The 25,744-nt window shown below is 39.7% G+C and overlaps 1 protein-coding gene across 3 annotated transcripts in view; it reads right to left on the bottom strand.

Moving 5' to 3' along the window:
- The window catches only part of OTC (ornithine transcarbamylase), a 95,245-nt gene that overhangs the window by 45,648 nt on the left and 23,853 nt on the right, over window positions 1–25,744 (bottom strand). For 2 of the 3 annotated variants that reach the window (NM_000531.6, XM_017029556.2), the window contains exons 1-3: window positions 24,508–24,677; window positions 9,852–9,990; window positions 7,404–7,485 (exon numbers count right to left, since the gene is read on the bottom strand). In NM_000531.6, the coding sequence (NP_000522.3) occupies window positions 7,404–7,485; window positions 9,852–9,990; window positions 24,508–24,584 (298 nt within the window). In that variant the 5' untranslated portion in view covers window positions 24,585–24,677. Of the gene's footprint in view, window positions 1–7,403; window positions 7,486–9,851; window positions 9,991–24,507; window positions 24,678–25,744 lie in introns of those variants that run through there. The other variant, NM_001407092.1, reaches the window with a different exon arrangement.

Genomic DNA, 25,744 nt, shown 5'->3' with positions numbered 1-25,744 from the left:
GCTTCCATTTTCATTTGTTTCAAGAACTATTTAAATTTTCTTCTTAATTTTGTCAGTGACTTAATGGTCATTCAGGAGCACATTTTTAAATTTCCACGCGTTTATATTTTTTCCAAAATTCTTCTTGTTATTGATTTCTAGTTTTATTCCATTGTGGTCAGAAAATATATTTAATATAAGTATTTTTAAATTTGGGGTACTTGTTTTGTATCCTTGATAATGTTCCATGTGCTAAGGAAAAGAATGTGTACTCTGCACCTGTTGGGTGAAATGTTCTGTAAATATCTATTATGTCCACTTGGTCTACAGTGCAGATTAAGTCTAATGTTTCTTTGTTGATTTTCAGTCTGGATTATTTGTCCAATGCTGAAGGTGGAGCGTTGAAGTCCTCAGCTATTATTGCATTAGGTTCTATTTAACTTTTTAGCTCTAGTAATACTTGCTTTATATATCTGGGTGCTCTAGCATTGGGTTCATATATATTTATTGTTGTTATATTCTCTTGCTGAATTGGCCCCTTTATCATTACATAATGGCCTTGTCTTTTTATCCAGTTTTTGTCTTGAAATCTATTTTACCTGATATAAGTATAGCTACTCCTGCTCTTTTGTAGTTTCCATTTGCATGGAATATCTTTTGCCATCCCTTCATTATCAGTGGATGCATGTCTTTAGAGGTGAAGTGAGCTTCTCAACTGTTCACCTTGCTTTCTACCTCACTGAAAAAATTACAGGAATAAGAGGAGAACTTCCAGACTCTACTCCATTTCCCGACTAGTCAGCATCTGTACTCATATACTCTGCTTTCCTTTCTATTAAGCATAGATGAATTTTCCATGCCCCATGTAATGCCTTCACTCGTGCACTAGAAGCCACTCCCCTTGCCTACTCAAAGACATTGCTCTAGCAATTCCTCCCTTTCTCCCTTATGTCACCAACATCTTGAATGGGTTGTTCTCATTTTTCACACATTATTTAAAAACAGATACAGATTTCTCTTTGTCCTAATTTCCCTGACAAGTATTCCTTTAATTGTTTGCTCCCCTTTGCAGCAAAGCTCTTTGTTCTTCTTTCTTTTTCTAGTTCCTCTCTTCTCATTTCCATCAAACCTATAAGGCTTTGTCCCCTACCACTGCTGCACCAAAACTCCTCTCACCAAAGTTATCAGTGACCTTCACGTTACTCCATCTAGTGGCCATTTCTGAGCCCTCTTCCTTCACTTAGCAGTATTCAACAAAGTTGATCTTCATTTTCTACTTGATAAGCTTTCTTCACACAGTGTCTAGGACATCACACCTGTTTGCCTTTGCATCTACCTTGGTAGTTGCTCCTTCTCAGTCACCATTGTTGGTTCCTTCTATTTTTCTTGACTTCTGAATGTTGGTGTGCCCCAGGACTAGCCCTTGGTTCTCCTCTCATCCTTCAATCTACACTTACTCTCTTTATAATTGTATCCAGTCCCATGGCCTTAAATATCATCTATATGCTGGTGACACTCAAATATCTCTAGGCCAGATTTCACTCCCAAATTCCAGACTCATGTGCAACTGCTTTTTTTTAACATCTTTGCTTATATGTCTAATAGACACTTCAAACTCAATATATCTAAGACCGAATTCCCAACCTTCCCCTTTCCATTTGTTCCATCACCAGCCTTCACATTTGCTCAGGCAGAAATCTTAAAGTCATCCTTGACATCTCTCTCTTACCCAATACATCAGTAATCTTGTTGTCTCTCTCTTCAAAACATACCTAGGATCTGTTACTCTTACCCTCTCCACTGCTGCCACCACAACCCCAGCTTCTATAATTGATAGCTATCTATTGACAGGCTTCACTACTTCTACCTTGCTTTCACCCTGGGCTCCCCACAGTCTATTCCACAGTTTATTCTCAGTCAGAGGGATCCTTTTAAAATGCAAGTAGATCATGTCCCTCCTTTGTTCAAGATCATCCAACGATTCCCCAAAAAGCCAAAGTCCCAATATTGGTGCACTTGTTTTTCCCTCAGTTCCAGACACATTCTTCTCCTTGCTGAGAGTACTTATCATCTTCCAACATACTGTATCATCCACTTATTTATTATGTCTGTTGTTTATTGTCTGTGTACCCACTAGAATGTAAGCCCCATGAAGGCATGGATTTTCATCTGTTTTGTCTACTGAGGTATCACTCCCGAGCACCTAGAATAAAACCTGGCAAATAGTAAGTGCTTAATGAATTCTCATTGAATGAATAAAGGAGGAATTTGACTCTGAAGAAAGGACCCATTCTTCTCATTTGTGAACAGCCTCTCATTTTGCTAACAGAAAGAAGAGAAATTTCTATTATCTATGAAGCAACGTAATGAAGTTTAGTGGTGATTATAATCACTAATCACTCTTGAGTACTTAATTTCTTTATAAACATGCAACGTCACCTAAATACACATAAATACCGCACATTCGTCAAAAAATTATTTATTGTGCACCTACTAAGTGCCTAGTACAAGTATGAGTACCATTGAGGGTTGAGGACTATGGATGAAGACTTCAAACAAAGTTTCGGACCTCCTGGTAGGTCTATTCCAAGTCACACTCTTTCTTTGATGATAAGTCATTTTGCTATAGCAACTCAGGATTAATCTGCTGTCCTTCTACTTCCCTGTTTGTGCTATACAGAAGATCGATACGGTGCTTGGACTTATGAAATAGGGGTAGGAAGAAGAGTAACAGAAAGTGTGTACAGGCAGGAGCCAAAGACTTCAGCAGTTCATGAAAAAGATTAAATGGGGAGGAAATACTACCTCTGAGAAGAAATTGCCTTTGCAATTTTTGTCACAGATCAAAAAGAAGCCTCAGATCCCAGCCCAAAAGCACAAGTCAAGAATTTGCCGGTTTACCAGGTCTGGATGGTAATACGTGCTTATGAGGGGCATCAGAGGTTTTGAGCAGCCACTAGAAGCTGCCATTGCCAAGGAGAAGAGGACAGAGAGATGGGCTTCCACTCTTTCTCCACCCTTTATCCAGAGAAGCCTGCTTTTACCTGTTTCATTTGTTTATGCTTTCACATCAGCTATTTTTGAACATAGCGTTTCTTCTGTTAATTTCTTCTTCTTTTTATCTTTTTTTCTTTTTTTTGAGATGGAGTCTTGCTCTGTAGCCCAGGCTGGAAGCAGTGGCGCGTTCTCGGCTCACTGCAAGCTCCGCCTCCCGGGTTCACGCCATTCTCCTGCCTCAGCCTCCCGATTGGCTGGGACTACAGGCGCCCGCCACCACGTCTGGCTAATTTTTTGTATTTTTAGTAGAGATGGGGTTTCACTGTGTTAGCCAGGATGGTCTCGACATCCTGACCTCGTGATCCACCTGCCTCGGACTCCCAAAGTGCTGGGATTACAGGCATGAGCCACCGTGCCCGGCCTCTTCTGCTAATTTCTTAATTTCTGTTTGGGAAAATAAAAGTAAATCTTATTTTGCTCTTTTACTTCCCCATAGATCCCTGCCTGCTTTGGTAAAAAGAGTATAAATAGAATTCATTCCTTGGAAATATAAGGGATCCGAGTACCTTTGCTGGTAGAACTAAGGCAGTTATTAACCTCTCTGTGCTTGGCTTTTATAATTGCACAATAGTATCACAATTTTTACATTGGCATCTTTGTACAGACGATGATTTTGAAACAGCCGTTAAAACACCAGTTTCTATTTCACCTTGAAAGTGAAATACCAATGTTAAATAATGAAAAGAACCATCTCTTAGAATGCCTTTTGCATCTTTTATCAGCTACTGCATTTACTGAGATTAATAAATGTATCTGTCTATCAGCTCAATTCATTTGCTATAAAAGAATATTATCATTGGTAGACTCATAGGAGAATTGTCTGGTTTGCCAGGCAGGCACACACAAAGAGTGGATGAGGCATGAATGATCTACAACTACACACAGCTACATCGATACATCTCATAATGTTAAGCGAACGAAGTCAGACACAAAAGAGCGCATGCTGAATGATCCCATTAATATAAAGTTCAAAAATAGGCAAAATGAATCTGTGATGTTAGAAGCCAGGATAATAGTTACCCTTGGGTGAATGAGGAGTAGTGACTGGAAGGAAATGAAGGGTAGTGGGAAGCTTCTGGGTGCTACTACCATTCTGTTTCTCTATCTGGGTGTTAGTTACAATGGTTTGCTCACTGTAAGAATTCATCGATCTATACGCTTAATGATTTGTGCACTTTTCTGTTTGTGTGTTACACTTTAATAAACATGTTACATAAACAATTACTATGGTCAGAGTTGGGTGGAGAATTTGATTCTGTCTCCTGAGATAAGTAGGAATGTGAACGTAGCTCTGAAACTCAGGCTTGGAACAGAATTGCCAAGGACTGTCCTGTGAGGATCATGTCAGGGGCTGGCACAGATTTGGGGCAGTAACAGTTATAATTACACCTATTTTAATTCTAAGCACCAAAGTAACAGGTGGTACTTGTTGAAAAATTGTACCAAAGGACAACTGTTAAGATGCACATACTCACAATAGGAATGTTCTGTCATGATTTTGATTGGGGTTTACTGTTTCTGTAAACAATTAAGACAGCTACTCGCTTTCAGTGATTCTACTGTTGAGTTTGGCAGGATGCCATATGCAATTATTGAGGATAATGACAAATGCTCCATGAACTATAAGTTTTAACAGTCATACTCTCCTTGCTTCATTTATTTGTTGTTATTATTTACGATTTGGGGCAGGTTTCTAAGGATTTCTTTATAGAAAACCATCATTTAACAAAATGCTTAATGCCACCAGTAGAAACAATTTTACTAGAAGAAAACATGACTATTACATGCCATATAATTAAATTAAATCAATAGATTTAGTTTATTAAATTAGGTATTTAAAAATATATATAGTAATAGCTTCCAATCCTGGGTCTGCCATTTATTAGGTACGTGCCTTTGAGCCATTTGCTGGCCCCATTTCAGCCTGTTTTCCTGAATGGTCTTGCTCTCACAGAGTTGCCATGAGGATTGAGTGAGATAACACACATAATTAATGTAGAACACCTGGCACAGGGTCTGCCTCCAAAAACTTATTAAATTGTCACTCTCATTTTTATTAATAGATTAACTACCACATTATTATAAATGGTGAAACCAATCATTTATTCAGAAATATTCTGGTTTCAAACATAACATTTGAACAGGGAAAAGTCATAGAAATGCCATGAACTCAGCAAAATCCCTTTTAAAAAAACTTAAATTTGAGAAATTTCTATGTATTAAACAATTATTTTGGTGACTTCAAAAAAGAACAATTCTCTTAAGTACTAACGGTAAAAACAAAAATATATACACACAAGATAAAATGAAATAAAATAAAATTCTACCCAACTCATGGAATACTAGTGTTGAAAGGGAGCAGAATTTGAGAATTGCTGACTGGTTTATTCATTTTTTCCCTACCATCTGTCAGATATCAACATGATCTCTTACAGCAGCCAGCTTTAAAGAGCAAAATGTTCTTATCTGTTTTCTTCCTAGGGCTTTAAAGATTAGCACCTTATATATTTCCCTCGTCCTCCTTCCTTCTCTTTAGGGGGAAGGAGTGTGCATTAGTAAGAATAGTGGGCTTCAGATCTGAATCTTGGTGCTATCTGTATTAATTGAGTGAATTTGGCAAGTCGCTTAATCCCCCTGAACTTTCTTTTTGATATCTATTTGGTAAGCTTCATTATTAATCATTGCAAGGTAAAAATCACATGTAATAGTTGTTTGCTTCTAAGCCCTAGAAAGCTCTGACACTCGTAAGGTAGAATAATCTATTTGAAATATCAACCAATATGTTTTTGTTTGCGGTACTTCCTCCTTGACCCTGTCTGATTGCTCATTTGGGCAGTCATATTATTGATTCAAGTGAGGTCTGGTAGAGCAGAAATGCAGAGAGAAAGAAAAGAGGCAATTTGTGGCTTACGAGTTTCAAAGTGTCCATTTTGAAACTGCAGAGATAATAGCTTGAGGAAAAAAAATATCCTTAACAGCCTAGAATTCCAGGCACAATTTGGAAGAGTCCATGGATAGTCAGAGCCAGTTTTTCCTCCTGCTTTATTTCCTGGCCTCCAATACTGGGAACTGAAAGGGGAAGAAGAGAAGCAAGAGAGGAGAAGCAACAGAAATAAAAACTGATGGACCTTTGATACTGTACTCTGCTATGTGTTCCCCAAGTCAACTTCTGAAGGATGGGGGGGCATGCTGGAAAGCTCCATGAGTTTGGAGAATCCCAGAACTGAGGACAACCTGTCTTGCTTTTAAGACAGACCTCTAGAAGGCAGTAAATGTTATAGAGCTCCATGGCACCCAGCATGAGGAAGGAACAATAGAGTAGAGGCAGCCTTGTAGTACCTCTGTGCCTAATGTGTCTTGGAGAGCTGCTAAGAGGTTGAGAGAATGAAACCAAGAGATATATTGTTGTAATGGGGTCCTTGTCACAAAACCGTGAAATATTAGGCTCACAGACACTTTGAAGGGTGAGAAGAGCAGGGTTTATCGGGTGAAAAGAAAAAAAAGGAAAACAGGGACTCTCAGCAGAGCAAGAGTCCTGCTAGTTGTCTTCCCGCCTCTCAGATTGAATCCCAGTTTCCACCTCGGAACAGGAGAGGCCAGCTCTTCCCCGCGCAAATGGTGTGAACTTCCTGAGGCTTCAGCCCCGTGTGCATTCCTCCCAATGTTCAGGCCGGTTGGAGGTTCTCCAGTGACCCCTTTATACTTGGTTGTCTCAATATGAGTTCTTTCAATGAGAGTGAAGCAAACCTTGCAGTAAGTGGGAGACAGCCAAGATCCAATGGGAATATAGAAGTCCCAACAGAACCTAGCATGGATATTTGATGATGATGTTCTAATGACCAAGGACCAGATCCCCATACCCCTACATGTCTTGACATTCAGATACTCTCCATGATTTAACCTGACTGTGGGGAAATGGAGAGGAGACCCAAAATGGACAAAATAAACCATAAAACAACTGAGGATTGCCTAACATCGCAAAGATTAAATTTCCACCATCTAGCAGAATTGAGACACACAAGGAAATGTTCTTTGCATGCTAGAAAAATAGACATATTTCTTACCCACGTGAGTTCAAGGCCTGAAAATGTGTGCCCACCTATATTTCTTTTCTGAACATGAAGAGTTATATGGAACTTCTACTCAGTTCCTTATGGAATTCTTATAGATGAAGCTAATTTTTCTGCTTGCAGCTTTTATGAGAACTGGAAATCTCATTCACAGGCTTGCATTGCTGCTCCCAGTAAAAATGATTTTTTCTTTGTGGTTGCTAGAGGCAGACAAATCCCCGCACTGGGTTACCCCTCCAAAGTCTTCACCTTCAATCCCTCTCTTCAACACAAGTGTGAATTTGGCAGTGGACTTACCTGTTTCTGTAGACAATCTTGTTCGAGTACTTCTTTTCTCAAAAATCATGCCTAAGGACTTCCCTTGCAATAAAGGCAAATACTATAAATCAAGGACAAGAATAGAATTAAAATATATCTTATATATAAATTATGTTTTAAAACATATTCTTTATTAGAAAATAAGTAATAACTACCCCCAAATAAGTGTTTAAAATATTGTTTAAAAAGTGAATTTAGGCCAGGTGTGGTGGTTCATGCCTTAATCCCAGCACTTTGGGAGGCCAAGGCAGGTGGATCACCTGAGGTCAGGAGTTCGAGACCAGCCTGGCCAACATGGCAAAACCCCATCTCTACTCAAAATACCAAAAAAAAAAAAAAAAATTAGCCTGGAGTGGTGGTGGGTGCCTATAATCCCAGCTACTAGAGAGGCTGAGGCAGGAGAATTGCTTGAACCTGGGAGATGGAGGTTGCAGTGAGCCAAGATCTTGCCACTGCACTCCAGCCTGGGCAACAGAGCAATATTCCATCTCAAAAAAAAAAAAGTGAATTTAAAATGTTTTTTTATGTACTATACAAATGGGGGAAGAGAACAGTAACTCCCACAGCTTATTGACATGTAATTAGAAAGCAGTATTAATTGTTCTGGGTTCAACATGTGAATTTTTTCCAAAATATATTAGTATTTCATACTGGAACCACCTTCTTACTTAACTCTATTGAAATCCCCATTCAGTTTTCAATGACCTCGAAGGTGTTTGGTTTGGAGGTGTTTTCTCAGCTGGGAAAATGCTACTCTGTTACAACATGGGGCACTACAACTTTCACTTAGATCAATGATGAAGCCCTAGTGTTTTAGCTACACATTCATCATGCATCCTCATGGGAATACAAAGACTTTGCTTCTGGAAGTCATTTGAAAACAATCTGGAGAGTCTGAATGTGGGGTGGGGCGCTTCCTCCTTCCTCTTCTGTAGATGGGCTTCCTGATAGAAGGAATTCTGGAACAAATAGATTCCTGCCAGCTAACCTCCCTCATCCACAAAGTGTCAAGAACATAGGCCTGGGCCTGGGGAGACCTTTTCTCTTATTTCAGGTGTTTTATAGGAACATCAACCCATAGCAGTTGCGGTCACTCCTGTCCTCAGTTTTTCTTAGGAGCTTGGAGAGCCAGCCTACTAGATAAAATCAAAACCGTGTCAAACTTTCTCAACCTGAAACCAACTCTTTAAAAAGGCTGAACAAGCTTGGAATACAAAAATGCTTTCACAATTAAGCAGTCCAAATGAAGCTACTGTATTAATTGTCTTTCGAAGATAAATTGCTCAAAATGCAGAATTATGCTTATAGCTAAGAACCATATCCCATCTCTTCTCCTACCTGGATACCATTAATTGTTTCTTTGCTAATCTAAATGCTTTTTAAAACGCTGTCACATCATTGTGAATTTTTTGACATTATCCTAATGATTCTATATCTGATATGCATCCAAAATTAAAATTTGTCACTTGGAAAAAAAGGATCATCTTCTTTTTTTGCAGATGGAGTTTCACTCTTATTGCCCAGGCTGGACAGCAATGGCACGATCTTGGCTCACTGCAACCTCCGCCTCCTGGGTTCAAGCAATTCTCCTGCCTCAGCCTCCCTAGTAGCTGGAATTGCAGGCATGTGCCACCATGCCCGGCTAATTTTTTATTTTTAGTAGAGACGGGGTTTCTTCATGTTGGTCGGGCTGGTCTCGAACTCCCGACCTCAGGTGATTTGCCTGCCTGGCCTCCCTAAGTGCTGGGATTACAGGCATGAGCCACTGCGCCTGGCCTTCATTTTTGACTTGATAGAAAATACACAGAGAAAAGAAAAGGGGTATAAAAATAAAATCTTGGCCGGGCACGGTGGCTCACTCCTGTGATCCCAGCACTTTGGGATGCCAAGGTGGGCGGATCACTTGAGGTCAAGAGTTTGAGACCAGCCTGGCCAATATGGTAAAACTCCATCTCTACTAAAAATACAAAAATTAGCCAGGTGTGGTGGTATGCACCTGTAATCCCAGCTACTTGGGAGGCTGAGGCGGGAGAATTCCTTGAACCTGGGAGGCAGAAGTTGCAGTGAGCCAAGATCACGCCAATGCACTCCAGCCTGGGCAACAGAGCAAGACTCCATCTCAATAAATAAATAAATAAATAAATAAATGCTTTTCAGACAAATGATTTCTTAGGTTCGATCCAGTTAATAATGAATTTCAGCATTCCACGTGAAAAAAGTGCAATGACTTGTCATTCAATAACTGATTTTTATGCTTTTTTGTATGCCTGTATGCTCCATGATAATCAATTACCTTGACTGTGAGGTTTCATTACTTAGCTACTGTTTAAGAATTTTAATGTATTTTTTTCCCTCTTTCTTTGGGAAGGCTGCCTTTAAAAAAAGGGGACTGGTAGTAATGGAACGTAAAAAGAAAATGTTACATACCTCTCCTTTCTGTTTTATCCTAAATTTCAGATCTGCTGATAGCCATAGCATATATTTAATTTCTTCTCCGGTAAAGTTTTTTAGAGTGAGAAGGTCACGGCCCTTCAGCTGCACTTTATTTTGTAGTGGTTGTCCACACCTGTAAAAAGAGATTTAAAAGGGAGAAATATGTATTTCAGAAAAGACCCATGTACTATGGTGATTCATTGTTTTACTGTTGATAAGGCATTCTTTTCTTTTCTTTTTTTTTTTTTTGAGACAGGTTCTCACTCTGTGGCCCAGGCTGGAGTGTGGCACAATCTCAGTTCACTGCAGCCTCTGCCTCCCAGGTTCAAGCGATTCTCCTGCTTCAGCCACCCAAGTAGCTGAAACTACAAGCACATGCCACCAAGCCTGGCTAATTTTTGTATTTTTACTAGAGACGGGGTTTCTCCATGGTGACCAGGCTGGTCTCGAACTCCTGAGCTCAAGTGATCCGCCTGCCTCGGCCTCTTGATAAAGCACAGCAAATGCTTTATCTTCTTATTCTTGATAAAGCACAGCAAATCACATATAACCTCATGTGTCTCTGCAAAGTGTTAATGCGTTGAAATTTGATATGGCCTTGGTTTATATTTTGTATGTCCAGTATTTTGGATGTTTGACAGAAAAAAAAAGAATTTGTGAAAAGAGATTGAATTTTTATTTGCTTGAAATAGCCACATGAGTGGCTTTGTCACTTACTAGTCACACAACCTAGGGCAGTTTATTTACCCACTCTCTGCTTCTAAATTTCACACCTAGAAAATTACTATAATAATCTTATAGAGTTGTTGTGAGCATAAAATTATTTAATACATGTAAAGCAGACATTGTCTGGAATATAATAAGTATTTGATAACTTTTAGCTATTATTATTAAAATCATTGGGCTGTACAAGCAGCATTTGTAATGCACAATAGAAAATAATTTCGTATTTTCCCCCTACTGCCCTTCAAATCTGTTCTTGGAGCTTGTTCTTTTTATCCCTGGATGAAAATACAATGGACGCTGTAACTTTTCTACTAACTCAGAAAAATACAAAAAGCCCTCTGCTTATTTTACTACCTCAAAGAGTCTCAGTAAAATAACATGTAACAAAAATATAATAATAATAATAGTGATTTTAAAAAAACCTTAAGAAATTTGCTGCAGGTTAACACCTTTTCCCTTCCAGCTTATGCCTGATTAAAGCTGGCCTCCTCTATGGGGAAAGAGGGGCCAATGTGCTATTTCCTCGTTTCCTTACTTTCAGTTCCTCTAAGTGAAGCCAAGGGAAGGTGAGGAGTTAAGAGCCAGCAAAAGCCTGGTTCTGCTCTAGCAATCTAGCATTGGTGCACGTGTCTCCAACACCTGACTCTCTTGTGATGTGTTTTTGGAGGTCCTTTGGAGAACCCCCGCTTATCATTAGGAATTTCTCATAGCAGTCTTTGATACAGACAATTACATTTCCTCTGGCATCCAAGGGAACACATCCAGCCTCTATTTTGCTGAGATTTCCCCCACCCCTCCAGGAGGTCTCTTGGTCATGATCTGAAACAATACCATGCTAGGTCTTTTTTATCTCATTCCCTATTGCTTCATGGGAAGTTCTCCATGTTCTTTGCTCTAACAAGTGTCAGGTCCATCCTGGTATAGACTCCATCTTGTTCTGCTATCAGAACAGCTAACTAGCCTGTCTTTCCTACTTTAAATTTCTCAGGTATCATCCTGACATCAGTTTACTGTGGGCCCTAGTGGAGCCATTTTGTTGGGCTTGAAGTGAAGGAAGAGTATCCCCTTCATGGGGGAGGAGGCACATGATACACAATAGAAACACTCTCTATAAATTATCTTCTAATTTCCAACCCCTCTCTTGGTTTCTGCAACACATTTTATAAGCTGAAGGTGGTAACTAAGGGATTCCAAACTGAATTTTGTCTATTTCCTTTGCAATTCCATTTTTAGTGGTCTAGCATCTCTTTAGAATGAGGGAAGAATCAGTACCTACTGGGCCTGGACAGAAACCAAAACCGAAAAAGATCAATTTTAACATTTTGTTATATTGTGATGACAATAATTGTTATTTGCGGTAATCATTCTATAAAATGGACATCATCTTTCTCTCATCATTCCTAGTGTTATCTGTGTTTAACAATAATTGGTATTTTCTACCATTCGAAATTATAAACAGCCAAAGGCAAATTGTGGTTCACCACGTGTACTAAACATTAATTTTACTAGAAGTAAAATAACTGTCACAAAATGATCATGCTTTAATTCTAACCTAACAAGAGAGCCTGTGCTACTTGGGATGAAGAGTTAATCATCTGTTGGGATTTATGGAGGTCTTTTTGCAATGGTGATAAGCTTATAGGTGGGAAAAGCACAAATTCACTCAATTTGTTGTTTCCACTGCATGATGTCAGTAACTTAGACAAGTGAATATTGCACTACATATGTTTCTTGCAGAGTTGATTGGTTCATTTAATGTTCAGTGGGTGAATAGATATTTTTTGGTAGACATTTTGTGAGACTGAGCCCTTCAGAGGTCTAGTTAGTAGGGAAGAGAATTTCCATAAGGATTAAGAGTTTGTCAGTTGGTTGGCTAATTGGTTGATTGACTGATTTTTTTTTTTTTGAGATGGAGTCTTGCTCTGTTGCCCAGGCTGGAGTACAGTGACGTGATCTCGGCTCATTGCAGCCTCCACCTCCTGGGTTGAAGCAATTCTTGTGCCTCAGCCTCCTGAGTAGCTGGGATTACAGGCACCTGCCACCACACCTGGCTAATTTTTGTATTTTTAGTAGAGACGGGGTTTCATCATGTTGGCCATGCTGATCTCGAACTCCTGAGCACAAGTGATCTGCCCACCTCAACCTCCCAAAGTGCTGGGATTACAGGTGTGAGCCACTGCACCCAGCCAATTGACTGATTTAATCTAAGACATTGATGACATATTCAACTACAAATAGAAATTACTGTTTTCAGCTTATATGTAGAAACAAAATTTTAGTTAACATTGCTATTTCAAAGATGTATTATTGTCTTTGACTTTTAAAAATATGTGAGTCATGGGCTCTCCAAATGGAAATTTCTTTAAAGCAGTGGTCCTCAACTTTTTATTACGTACCTCTAACAGTAAAAACTTTTAAACATGGATTCATAATGTATGTTTTATTTGTTTATATGTGCTGCTATACTAATAGATTATGTACATAACAAAACATACACGAAAATAAAAATTTAAAAGGTTTAGACTAAGAAGAACCAAATATTTTATTATATTTATTTATTTATTTATTTTTTCAGATGGAGTTTCACTCTGTCACCCAGGCTGGAGTGCAGTGGTGTGATCTCGGCTCACTGCAACCTCTGCCTCCCAGTTTCAGGACATTTTCCTGCCTCAGCCTCCCGAGTAGCTGGGACTACAGGCATGTGCCACCACGCCCAGCTAATTTTTGTATTTTTGGTAGAGACAGGGTTTCACCATGTTGGCCAGGCTGGTCTTGAACTCCTGACCTGAGGTGATCCAACCACCTCAGCCTCCCAACCTGCTGGAATTACAGCACGTGAGCCACCACGCCCGGCAAAGAACCAAATATTTTAAAAATAAGTTTGTAGATATACAAAGACATTTTGCTGGCTAAAGCAGTTTCTAGACAGCCCTTCATTTTCTTCCTTCTACTGAAATCCTAGTAAAATGCTTACACAACTGTGCCCAATATCTCCATCATAGTCAGCAATTTGATAACTTTGGAAGCAAGGCATTTAGACAGAAAATTTGTATTTACGTACAAATTTTGGTTATGTGTTTTCTTCTGATAATATTAATTAGTGATAATATTAAGCAACACTTGGAATACTAAGTACTGATAATGTTAAGGAGTAAGCACTGACTAACAGTCATGCATTTTTCAGGGTCAACTGAAATCTTCTTCTGGGGATTATAAAACAGATTTGCATATGTGGCCTGAAATGAAGGCACGGCAGCTTAATCTTTCTCAATTCACAGTTGGGGCAGATTTGAAAATATTTTTCTTCTGGAATAAGATCCAAGCAACATAAAATTACAGAAGATAAACCTTCTTGACTACATGTCTTACAATAACACATTGATATTCCTTGGCTTAAGACTTCCTCTAATATTATTTTAAAAGGGGAAGAATACTTTGCTGGAAAACCCCACTCCCTCTGTTTCAAGGAATTTGAGAAACATCACTATAGCTGTTGAACTCACATCCATCAACCACAGGAAAAACCACTCATGAACTAATTTTGAGGCCCTCAATTTTTTGTCTTGAGTTCAAGCTCAGACTCCTGGTTATTTTGGAGCCCACAAAAGCTGAGTCTCCAAACTGCTATACTTAAAGGATTCAATATCATCCCCTATTCTCAGCCTCTGCGGGATTTTGTTGTATCCTCTTACTTCTGAATGCTCACAAGGCTACAGGCTTTATTTAAGAGAATGTCATAGATCTTAGAATTGTGTTGTTCTTGTTGAATCTCAGAGAAATAGAAGTGGAAATGAAAATTTTGCAAAGGACTAAATTTTTTCTCCCCAATTTCCATAAAAGGAAACAGGAAAGAGGAGGACCAACAATACCTTACCTTTTACTACTCCAAAAGCTCCAGCTTCCAGTTCTTATTATCCCCAATAGAAGACAGACTGGAGAAAGTAACAAGTTTCTGGGGCTTCCTCAGCTTTTGTCCTACATACTTAGAAGTTTCTAAGTTGGAAGTGAAATTAAGCTTGTAGTTAGGGTTAGGGTTAATGTTCTGCTGTGGGTTTGCATTGTGAGATGCTGCTGTTTCTATTTCTCCACTGACAGAAGATTTGAATATAAAGGTAGAAAGAACACACAAACATCCTGCTTGAAGCTTTCCTTTTTGTCAAGGCCTTTGATTTTCAAATGTATATAGAACAGAAACTTTATTTCAATATTTTTCCCTTGGACTACAAGTGATTGGAAAAATCTCCCTTTCTGACTCTAGACTTTCCATGGCAGCAGCTGATAATGCTGCCCTCACTCTTGCTGCCCTTGAATCACATCTCCAATAAATGTTAGCAGATAACCTTCCCCCACCCCAGAGTTTCCTTGTGCCCCTTTGTGTTTTTGTTTGCTGTTTGGTTTTGCAGTAAGATCACTTAACATGAGATCTAGTCTCCTAACAAATTTTGAACTGCACGACACCATATTGTTAACTATAGGCACTATGTTGCACAGCAGATCTCTAGAATTTATTCATCTAGAATAATCGAAAGTTTAGATCCATAGAAAAACTCCCCTTTTCCCCCACTCCCAACTTCTGACAACCAGTATTGTCTGATGTTTTAAATTAGAATCTATGAGTTTGGCTATTTTTGATTCTTATATAAGTGAAATCATATAGTATTTGTCCTTCATGGCTTATGTCACTTAGCATAATGTCCTCCAAAACTGTTTTTTTTTTAAACACAGGCAGTTTTTAATTTGCATGGTAGTGTGTGGGACTGTGAATAGCCATTAAATCTGAAGCCATGTAAAGTAACCTTAATATTTAGTGGGAAAATTGTAATCGTTCTGTGACTTTTAAAAAATTGTCAGAACATTAAAAACTTTTATTGTCAGTTGTAAATGTGTAGGGAAGTGAAAAATAGTAAAACTGATGTATTTTTTAGTACAATGTAATTTAAAACATTAGAAGCATTGAGAATTATAGTGCTTTATTTCCTTGTAAAAACTCTATCAAGAGTAATTTGAACAGTGCTTGCTTTCTCATCTTAGAACCTATGATATAGAGCAAGCATCTTTTCTATGTTTTGGTAAACTGTCATAATTCTTTCTAAGTTTGGATAAACTTTCAACATTTTCCTTTGCACTTTGAACGCTGTGTAATATCTGTGAGAGTTCCTTTAATGTGAAGTGTTTTGCTGGTGTTACTTCCCCTGGGACATCTTCATCCTTTTTGTCACAACCACTTTCTGCAGTTATGTCAATAACTTTGTCTTCACTAAGTTCCTCTGGCTGTATATCTACAGCCTCTCAAACAGCAGCAGGGTAACAATCACATAGTCAGCTGTTTCTTCCATAACTCGATTTACATTCAATCCAAATTTAACTTCCACTGCTATCAGTATTTTTTTTTTTTAACGGAGTCTCGCTCTGTCGCCCAGGCTGGAGCGCAGCGGCGCAATCTCAGCTCACTGCAACATCTGTCTCCCAGGTTCAAGCGATTCTCCTGCCTAAGCCTCCTGAGTAGCTGGGATTACAAGCGTCTGCCACCACGCCTGGCTAATTTTTGTGTTTTTTAGTAGAAATGGAGTTTCACCATGTTGACCAGGCTGGTCTTGAACTCCTGACCTCAGGTGATCCACCCGCCTCAGCCTCCCAAAGGCACTTTTTATTTCTCTGCTGCACTTTCATGTACTGCACTGTCATTATCCATTTTTGTAAAATGCCCATGGGTTTATCACTGGGAGAAAAGGAGGCAGCACAGCTATATACTCTTTGCTGTCTGTATGCAAACTGAATGACAGATGCACAGTGACCAATCACCAACAGACTTTGAAAGAAGTGATGTAATTGGTCACTGACCATGAGGTACTGTGTATGTGTTATTTACATGGTGATTTGTAGACTGAAGAGTTAGCAATGAAGTTTTGCTTTATGAATTACTCATAATTAATATGCCATGTTGACTGAAATTTGAACTGTGTTCGTAGTGGCCTAGTGTTATTAACTAAACTGTGGTAATTGAAATTTGTGCACATTGGGATATCGCAAAGGAGGGGCTGCCTGTACTCCAAAAGCTTTCCCATCACAGGACTCGGATATACCATTCCCTTTGTCCAGAACACTCTCCCCTCAACTCTCAAAGCTGGCTCCTTCTCATTCTCAGGCTGTAAGCTTAAATATCACTTCCTAAGAGATTCCTTTCCTGACTCTACTGTCTAAGTAGTCTTCACTTTACCTTCATTTTGTTTGTAATAATTATCACAATTTTAATATATATTTATGTGTTTATTTATTGCTACTTTTACTCTTCTCACTGGATTACATATGATCCACAAATAGCAGGGACCTTTCCTATTTTATTCACTAATATATACCCGGTGCTTAGTACAGTGCTTGGAATGTAGTAGTCATTCAATAAATATTTCTTAAGTAAATGAATAAATGATAGTAGGTCATTAGGGCAAAAGTAAATCAATTTGTATAAGAAAGAATTCAGGCACGGCATAGTGGCTCACACCTGTAATCCCAGCACTTTGGGAGGACGAGGCGGGCGGATCACTTGAGGTCAGGAGTTCTAGACCAGCCTGGCCAACATGGTGAAACCCCGTCTCTACTAAAAATATAAAAATTAGCCGGGCGTGGTGGCAGGCACCTGTAATCCCAGCTACTCCTTGGGAGGCTGGGGCAGGAGAATCGCTGAAACCCGGGAGGCAGAGGTTGCAGTAAGCTGAGATCGCACCATTGCACTCTAGCCTGGGTGACAAGAGCGAAACTCTGCCTCAAAAACAAAAAAAAAAAAAAGAAAGAAAGAATTAATTCCCAGCAGATTTCTGGGATGAATATTGAAAGATTTGTCATGATGGATTTTCAACATCCTGACCAAGTTCTGATGATAAGAAAAGACATAGGCCAGGCACGGAGGAGAGAAAACAGTGCACTTTGATTATTCACAATGTCAAAACTTAAAATGAATGCCTTTTAAAAAACATCACTTCAGCCGGGTGCGGTGGCTCATGCCTGTAATCCCAGCACTTTGGGAGGCTGAGGCGGGCAGATCACCTGACGTCAGGAGTTCGAGACCAGCCTGACCAATATGATGAAACCCCGTCTCTACTAAAAATACAAAAAATTAGCTGGGCATGGTGGTGAGGGCCTGTAATCCCAGCTATTCGGGAGGCTGAGGCAGGAGAATCACTTGAACCTGGGAGGCAGAGGTTGCAGTGAGCCAAGATGGTGCCATTGCACTCCAGCCTGGGCAACAAGAGGGAAACTCCATCTCAGAAAAAAAAAAAAAAGACAAAATTTATGTTGAGGGAAGAGCAAATATAGGGTATGGCCCAGGCTGAACACAAGGCCTGAAAATCATGGAGGATAATTGACTGTGGCCTAGTGTGTTGCTAAAGCTGAAATCCCCTAGAACCCCACCACTCTGGTATAGTATTTGCACTACTGGGAACAATGACTGGACATATGTATGTGAAACAAGAGTGGACTAATCTTGGATCCTAAGCACAGCACTATGAGTCAAGGGCCAAAACCTGGAAAACTGGCAAGTATACCTTATAGGGCCAATGTTTGCTCATACCACCATGAAGGCTGAAATGGAAGTACAGTAATAGTGGACTACACTGATACTTTGGTTCTTTCTTGCCACAAACTCCTTTTGGACAGAATAAGTTGTCAGGGTTCTTGGGGACAAAAGCGGTAGAGAGGTAGATGCTATATATCTGGTCATACCAGCATCTGAGGGCTTGAGTGATTAACTAGAATTTCTTTTAAAATTGCACCACAGCTGGCCGGGTGCGGTGGCTCATGCTTGTAATCCCAGCATTTTGGGAGGCTGAGGCAGCTGGATCACCTGAGGTCAGGAGTTTGAGACCAGCCTGACCAACATGGTGAAACCTCATCTCTACTAAAAATGCAAAAATTAGCTGGGCATGGTGGCAGACGTCTGTAATCCCAGCTACTCGGGAGGCTGAGGCAGGAGAATCACTTGAACTCTGGAAGCAGAGGTTGTGGTGAGCTGAGATCGCGCCGTTGCACTCCAGCCTGGGTGACAGAGCAAGACTTCATCTCAAAAAAAAAAAAAAAAAAATTCCACCACAGCTAGTGAGGGGGGGTTATGCTGTTTATACCACTGAAAAATCATTAGAGTAGTCACCACCTTTCTCAATTCCATCCAGGAGGTGGGGCAGGAAATGTTAGCTTGGGAAAAAGAGCTGTTTTTCATAGATATCGAGAACTAACCAGGGAAATTTATCACTGGAAGGAAAGCAAATACAATGGTCCCAGTTTAAATTCCTATCCTGTTTACTGTCTCCTCACAGACCTCCCCTTGGCTCCAAAATGGAGTTGCCACACCTCTTTCCTAAGCTACATAAAAATTAGAAGAGTTCCACAATTGTACCACATTAAAACAGTTCTGACACAGGCCTCCTTTTTTTTTTTCTGGTCTGTAGCAAGCATTTTCTTGCTTTTGGGTGATAAAGCCACGCTTGAATTAGCCAGGTAAGACTGCTGGCATCAATGGCTATTAAGTTCCCCCTAGAGACCTCATTCTTCAATAGGAGGCAGCCTGCTCTGGTTCACAAGCACCAGAACCAGGGCCAAATGCATTATTCGAGTCTCCTGTAAAATGCTTGCTTTTCTTGTACCAAAGTGTACAAGAAGTAAATCAGAGTAAACAAGAAATCTCCTTGGTACACCAGACACAAACCACATTATTATTATTCAGGCTGCACATAAGAGGGAGGATACAATGTTGTGGGAAACAATGAGAAGCACGTACAAATACTCCATCAAAACTGTCACTGCAGTCTGGTCAGAGCCAGAGCCCTTGAAAAAGGCAAGTCTAGTTCCTTATATTCATTTTATTCCTTGAAAAAATAATTACAGAGATTTCTTAACCCCAAATCACTGAATGCTAAGAAGCTAAGCCAAGGTAATAAGAGATCCTTGTATTAACTTTACCCAAATATCTTCCTAGCTACAAAATGGAAGAGTATTTGCTACTTGCAGAATGAAGCCTTTCATTGCTAGTGTCTGCATTTTCCAACTCTGGTAAACTGGGGGGTGGGAGAGACTTGGATGTATTCCTGGTATAATTGTATTTTATTGGAAGAGAAAGTGCTTGATTTGAGTAAAATGTGGTCAGTCAGAAACTGATTTTGCCAGAGTAGGAAAAAATTCAGTGTTAAATGATACTCTGATCCCCATGGACAATTTGAGATAAAGACTTTAACTTCTGGAGACATAAGAGGGGGCCAATGGGCCTTATGGCTGAGATTTTTATGTTTCTTTAACCTTGCATTAATGCAAGAGCTAAGGCATATTTTCTTGTGTATGTTTTTTTTCTTTACTGAGATATTCTGGCTGTACCTAAAAAAGGATATTAGGCAAAGGTAGATTGGCCAGCTTGATCAATTGGAAGGGATCAAAGTAATACAAGCAATGAAATGAGAAGAGCAGTGCCTTTAAATATTTGAATTGTAGTCCTAGTTCAGCCCAGATTTAAGAATAAACAATGGCCTTGGGAAGGTTATTTGCCATCTCGAGCCTCAATTCTTCACCTGAAAATTTAATAAAGTGAACGAAATTAGCGATTCTCTTTGTCTATGTCTTCCCCCACACTCATGAAGTTTGTAAACTGGAGCCACATGAATTTTCAGTGGCCTAACTTTAATTCTATCCCTTTCTTTCCTTCTCAAAAAGGCATATTAGAATGCATGCAAAAGAAAGGAGCTGTATTTTCACAAAAAAAAACTTTGCAGTGATCCCACTGATGTGAAAAAAACTCACAAATGTTTTCCAAATTTATGCTTATTAACAATAACAATAATAATGTATTAATAAAAGTTTACTTGAAACCCTCCTCACTGTTGCCACATACCCATATGTGATATAAATTATTGATAGAGACAAGGGGCAGCCAAGGGCCCCCAAACCCGCGACCCCCAGCGAAACCCCACGTTCAAGCCTAAAACAGCCTGTAGGCTGATGAACAGGACTGCCTGTCCCGGATGAGGCCCGCCCTTTCCCCACACTCCCCTGACTGATTCTTTCTGAATAATGCCCACCTGCACACTGGGAGGACAGGGTGGGGCCTTGGGGAAGTTCGCACTGCACCTTTTGGAGTGGGGAGGAGCTAGGCCTCTCCTGTTCCTGTGTGGTAACCTGGCATTCAGTCTGTGAGATGGGGGCCTGTTAACAGGAACCCCTCTGGCTTTGCTGAGTTTTTTTCCTTTTCACTCAATAAATTCCGCTCCCCCTCACCCTTCAAAGTGTCTGTGAGCCTAAACTTTCCTGGTCATGTGAAAAGAACTCAGTTTTTTCTACAACATTATTATTGAGCACTGAGTGACTAGTAGTTTCTAAGATACCTTAGATCATTAATATTCTAAAATTGTGAAACTTCTCATCTGAAAATTGAAGAATTCAGATGAAGGCTAGCTTTCTGCAGACCTACTATTAAAGATCTGGAAACCTGAAACTCAAAAATCAGTGGCTTATTTTATCTAAGTTACGTTACTCAATTACTAAAAATAAACTAGGAAACAAATTCCACTGTTGGCCAAGGAAAACATCATGACCCCATTCAACTTTTGGTCCCATCTCTTGTATGGTTTTCTGAAGTGAAGTGATTTTTTTTTTTTTTTTTTTTTTTTTGAGACAGAGTCTCGCTCTGTCACCCAGGTGGCTGGAGTGCATTGGCGCGATCTCGGCTCACTGCAACCTCCGCCTCCCAGGTTCAAGCAATTCTTCTGCCTCAGCCTCCTGAGTAGCTGGGACTACAGGTGCATGCCACCAGGCCCAGCTAATTCTTTTTCTTTTTTTGTATTTTTAACAGGGACAGGGTTTTGCCATGCTGGCCAAACTGGTCTGGAACTCCTGACCTCAGGTGATCCACCCACCTCGGCCTCCCAAAGTGCAGGGATTACAAGCATGAGCCACTGCACCCAGCTGAAGTGATGTTTTTAAAAGGCATTCATTTTAAGTTTCGACATTGTGAATAATCAAAGTGCACTGGTTTCTCTCCTCTATGCAAGAACATGAACGTCTTATAATCACGTTGTCTGGATGTCCACGTGTGTATGGATGGGCATGTGTGAGAGACGAAGGGAGCATAATGAGTTATGTGAGCCCTTACAGAGGTCTGGAATGAAACACCTGAAAACTAGTCACCTCTGGCTCCAATCCATAACCTCCACAGAATTGAGTAGCTTAGCTCAATATTCTCTGAAGAAATTTCTATTTGTGAGATGAAATTGAACTGCACTTACAAATTGGTCTTTTCTGATAAAGAAAGAGATTTTTTTTTTAGTGGTTTCTTAAAAAGCTTTAAGTGGTTTCCCTAATAGGCAACAAATCATAGGATATTCTCTATTATCCAAACACAGCAAGGCTTTAGAGCCTTGTTTATGACATGGAAAGCCTGTGAATTGGGTGTTTTCAGCAGTCTTGGTTTCTGATCCTATCGATCTTGTTAAAAAAAAATTTAACTGACTAAAAGTGATTGATCCAGGGGCTGTGTGGATGGCTTCAGCCTCACTTAAGCTATTATTTTATCATGTCCATGGCGATATGACCGCTCACTTCAAAACTGCGATTCCTATTTTGTGGCACCATCAAATTCTAACCACATATTTCCTATTATTCTGGAGTAGTAAACTCACGTGGTATGTTACATAACAAGGGCCCTCCACCTTTCCCAAGAGATGTGGGAGAAAAAAATAACTCGAATCCCTGTGAAAGGCTGAAAATCAAAGCAAAAATATAGAACAGGCAGAGTTGACAGGGAGTTTTTCTCTGTTGTTGAGGGCTTTGTCAAAGGTTGTAAGTCTTATTGGAGACCAGAAATTCTGAATTTATCTAGCTGACAGGTAGTGCAACTAACCAATACAGTAGGAAAGAAAAATACCTATGCCACGTGAGAATGCATGTCGAAACCATTTCAACATTATCTCATTTTTCAATAGAGATTCACACTATTGAGTTTCTAACAACATGGGTGACTCGAGGCTTTCACACTTTCAAATAGAAAGTTTGGATTTGGGCCGATTTAGCCATACTTTTGTGCCAGCCCCCATTCACTGTGAGAAATAGCTCACCAGGATTTTCAGAAATGTAGTCTGGCTACTGGATATAGACAGTAGTGTATTAGTAAATACAAAAAAAAAAAGTTCAACTGTTTGGAGGAGGTTTTACTTGCAAAATTTAATCCGTAATAATTATTTTAAAAATCAATTATCATTGTAGTTTTCAAAGAACAGTATAAGTTTAAGTTCCAGGCTTTGATTATTCATTCAGTTGGGTGTTTTCAACTCAGTGATGATTCCTTGTTAAAAGCTATAGAATAAAATTTCATCACATTTTTATCTGATGTAACTCAGTGTAATGGAATACTAAAATAAATAATGAACATTGGTCTGTCACTTTTTAGGTTTCATATACATTATCTCACTGATTATCACTAGACTATGAATTCATGTAGCTGGAGTGAAGTATATTTTTACGTTATTTACCACCGTATCTCCAACTCCTTGATAGGGCATGGCACAAAGTAGATGTTCAATTAATATTTGTTGAAGGAATGATTGAACCACCCTGTAATGTAGGCAGAACAGGTATTATCCTTTTTTCCATTTTATAGGTGAAACAACATTGCAGAAAAGTTTAGTGACTTGTTCAAGGTCATATAGCCAGCAAGGGTGGTGCTAGGCCTTGAACCTAGTTCTTTAAACTTTTCTCCAGGTTGTTATCTGATCTAACTCTGGCACTAATTGGTAAACCCCACAGTCATTCTGGGCTTTTTTTACCTTATACTTGAAATAAGAGAAGTGAAACAATTTCAATTGAATATTTGAGCTGTTTAAGAAATAAAAATCACATTTCCTCCCAAAATAAAATAAGAGAAGGCATTATTTCATGGCTCTGAGGTCTCAACTAGGTCTAATATTATGGGCTTAATTTACAATATTATTTACGGTATCATTCTGACTTCTGAGAGCCTTATATTCACTAAAGAAGTAGTGCTAATGGTGGAGTCCAGAGAACCTAGAACTGTCAGCTGCTCCAGAGAAGGGATGCCCAGGGCCACTATCACAGGTCCACTTACTAATAATAAAAGAAAACTTCAGACCAAAAGCTTCTTCCTTAAGGAAGTCGGGAAGGTTGCTTTAGGTTATAAAGAGGCTCTGAAGAAATTCTGTCTCATTATTAACATGAAACTGTTCTAGAAGCTTTCTGGTAGTGATGTCTCCACCTGATGGCCTTGTTTACCCAGCTAACTCATCTCCCCTGTTCCCTTCCCCTTCCCCTTTCCCTTCCCCACAGACACACTCCATGCCATCTTCAACCACATGCACAATGGTTGTAAGCAGGATGTAAACTTTTATAATGAATTCATTGGAGACAGCCTGCTTTGCACATGCCAGCAAGAATTTCAGGGATGGTTTTCAAACTTGTATTTTATTTAAAAATGTCGTTATCCCCATCACATATAAGGCGTCTTTGCAGCAGCTTTGTCAGTATTTATTAGTTGCTACTTGGAGTCTGTTTTTTCAAAAGAACTGATTAGTCTCAACATCTTAGAGTGATATATTGTTTTATAGCAAGCCCAAATATAAGCTGAAGGCCCTGTGTAAATTACTTCCCCTAATTTCCTTCAGCCACTTGCTCGTTTAGAATGTACACAAACGAAAGATGTCAAGAACGTTTAGTCTGTTATACCTGCCATGGGTGGCTTCCCCTACAGCACACGGTGAAATCTGATTACAGAAGGACTGAGAAATGAAAGCTTTGCTGGAATTAGAGGCAGCTGTCTCAAATAAGAGTAAAGCAGAGCGTGGCACTACATTCTGCAGAAAGAGGCCTTACTGCAGAATATAGTTTTATGCATCACCATGATTCCTAAATCAAACCCAAGTCTCTGACCATCACTTACCGAAAATTTCGAACCATGAAGTTGTGACCATTTCTAAAAGCTGCATTGTTTAACAGGATCCTCAGATTAAACAGCATCTTCTTTTAATTGTGTAAAGGACGATTCTATGCCCTTGAAAACTCCACAGCAAGTTAGCCAGCGGGGGCCACCTAAAAACTAAGAAATGTGTTCAGTTGCAGTGAGGGAGCAAAGGTAATATCACCCTTCAGCTTCCTTATCAAAGTCCCCTGGTTAGAGATACTGCAGGGCAGGGTGTAGGAGCATTTGAACTTTATGCCAAGCTCCACCGCTGTGTATTTTTTTTGGAAGAAATCCTGACTCTTTTATTGCCTGGCCTCCTCATTTTTCATAATATATTTATACTGTCACACGCATGTACAAAATCAATTGACAAGTACTCATTGAGGATATAATATATGCAAGGCACTGCGGTACCGGCTGCTGTGAAGGTGAGTAGAAGTAACTCACTCAGAAAATGCAAATTGGCACTGCAAAAACACAGATGTAGATGTGACAGTCCTGAGTAGTACTATTTCCATTTATTTCACTTTTCTACCTCTAATTGCCAGTCTTTCCACAAAAACAAATAGAAAGAAGTGCCCTGGAAGCTATTTTGGGGGTGCAAGATGATAGAGAAGGTATAGTAAAAATATCTCAGTCCTGGAGCTCCCTTTGTGCCTTGCACATAAGTCTTCAATAAAGAAATAATTGCTGGCCGGGCACGGTGGCTCACGCCTGTAATCCCAGCACTTTGGGAGGCTGAGGCGGGCGGATCACTTGAGCCCAGGAGTTCGAGACCAGCCTGGCCAACATGGTGAATCCCCGTCTCCACTAAAAATACAAAAATTAGCTAGACGTGGTGGTGCACACCTGTAATCCCAGCTATTTGGGAGGCTGAGGCATGAGAGTCGCTTGAACCCGGGAGACAGAGGTTGCAGTGAGCCCAGATTGCACCACTGTACTCCAGCCTGGGTGACAGAGAGAGACACTGTCTCAAAAAAAAGAAAGAAAGAAAGAAAAAGAAAAGAAATAGTTGCCTATTGATTCTAACAGCACCTGACAGTCAGTACAAGTGGGAAGTGGGGATACCATATGCTCTTCCCCTAGCAGCCTATTCAGATCACTAAGGGGCCATCTGCAACTTCACATTTATTCATTTATCCTCAGTTAGAAATCAGGTGATTCAAAGTCAATTCTGTATCAGATACCGAGCTGCACTGAAGTTTCAGAGAGGGAA

The sequence above is a fragment of the Homo sapiens genome, chromosome X (genome assembly GCF_000001405.40).
Source record: "Homo sapiens chromosome X, GRCh38.p14 Primary Assembly".
Taxonomy (NCBI): Eukaryota; Metazoa; Chordata; class Mammalia; order Primates; family Hominidae; genus Homo; species Homo sapiens.
Note: the sequence above shows the minus strand (reverse complement) of the source record. Positions and strands in the feature narration are given on the sequence as shown.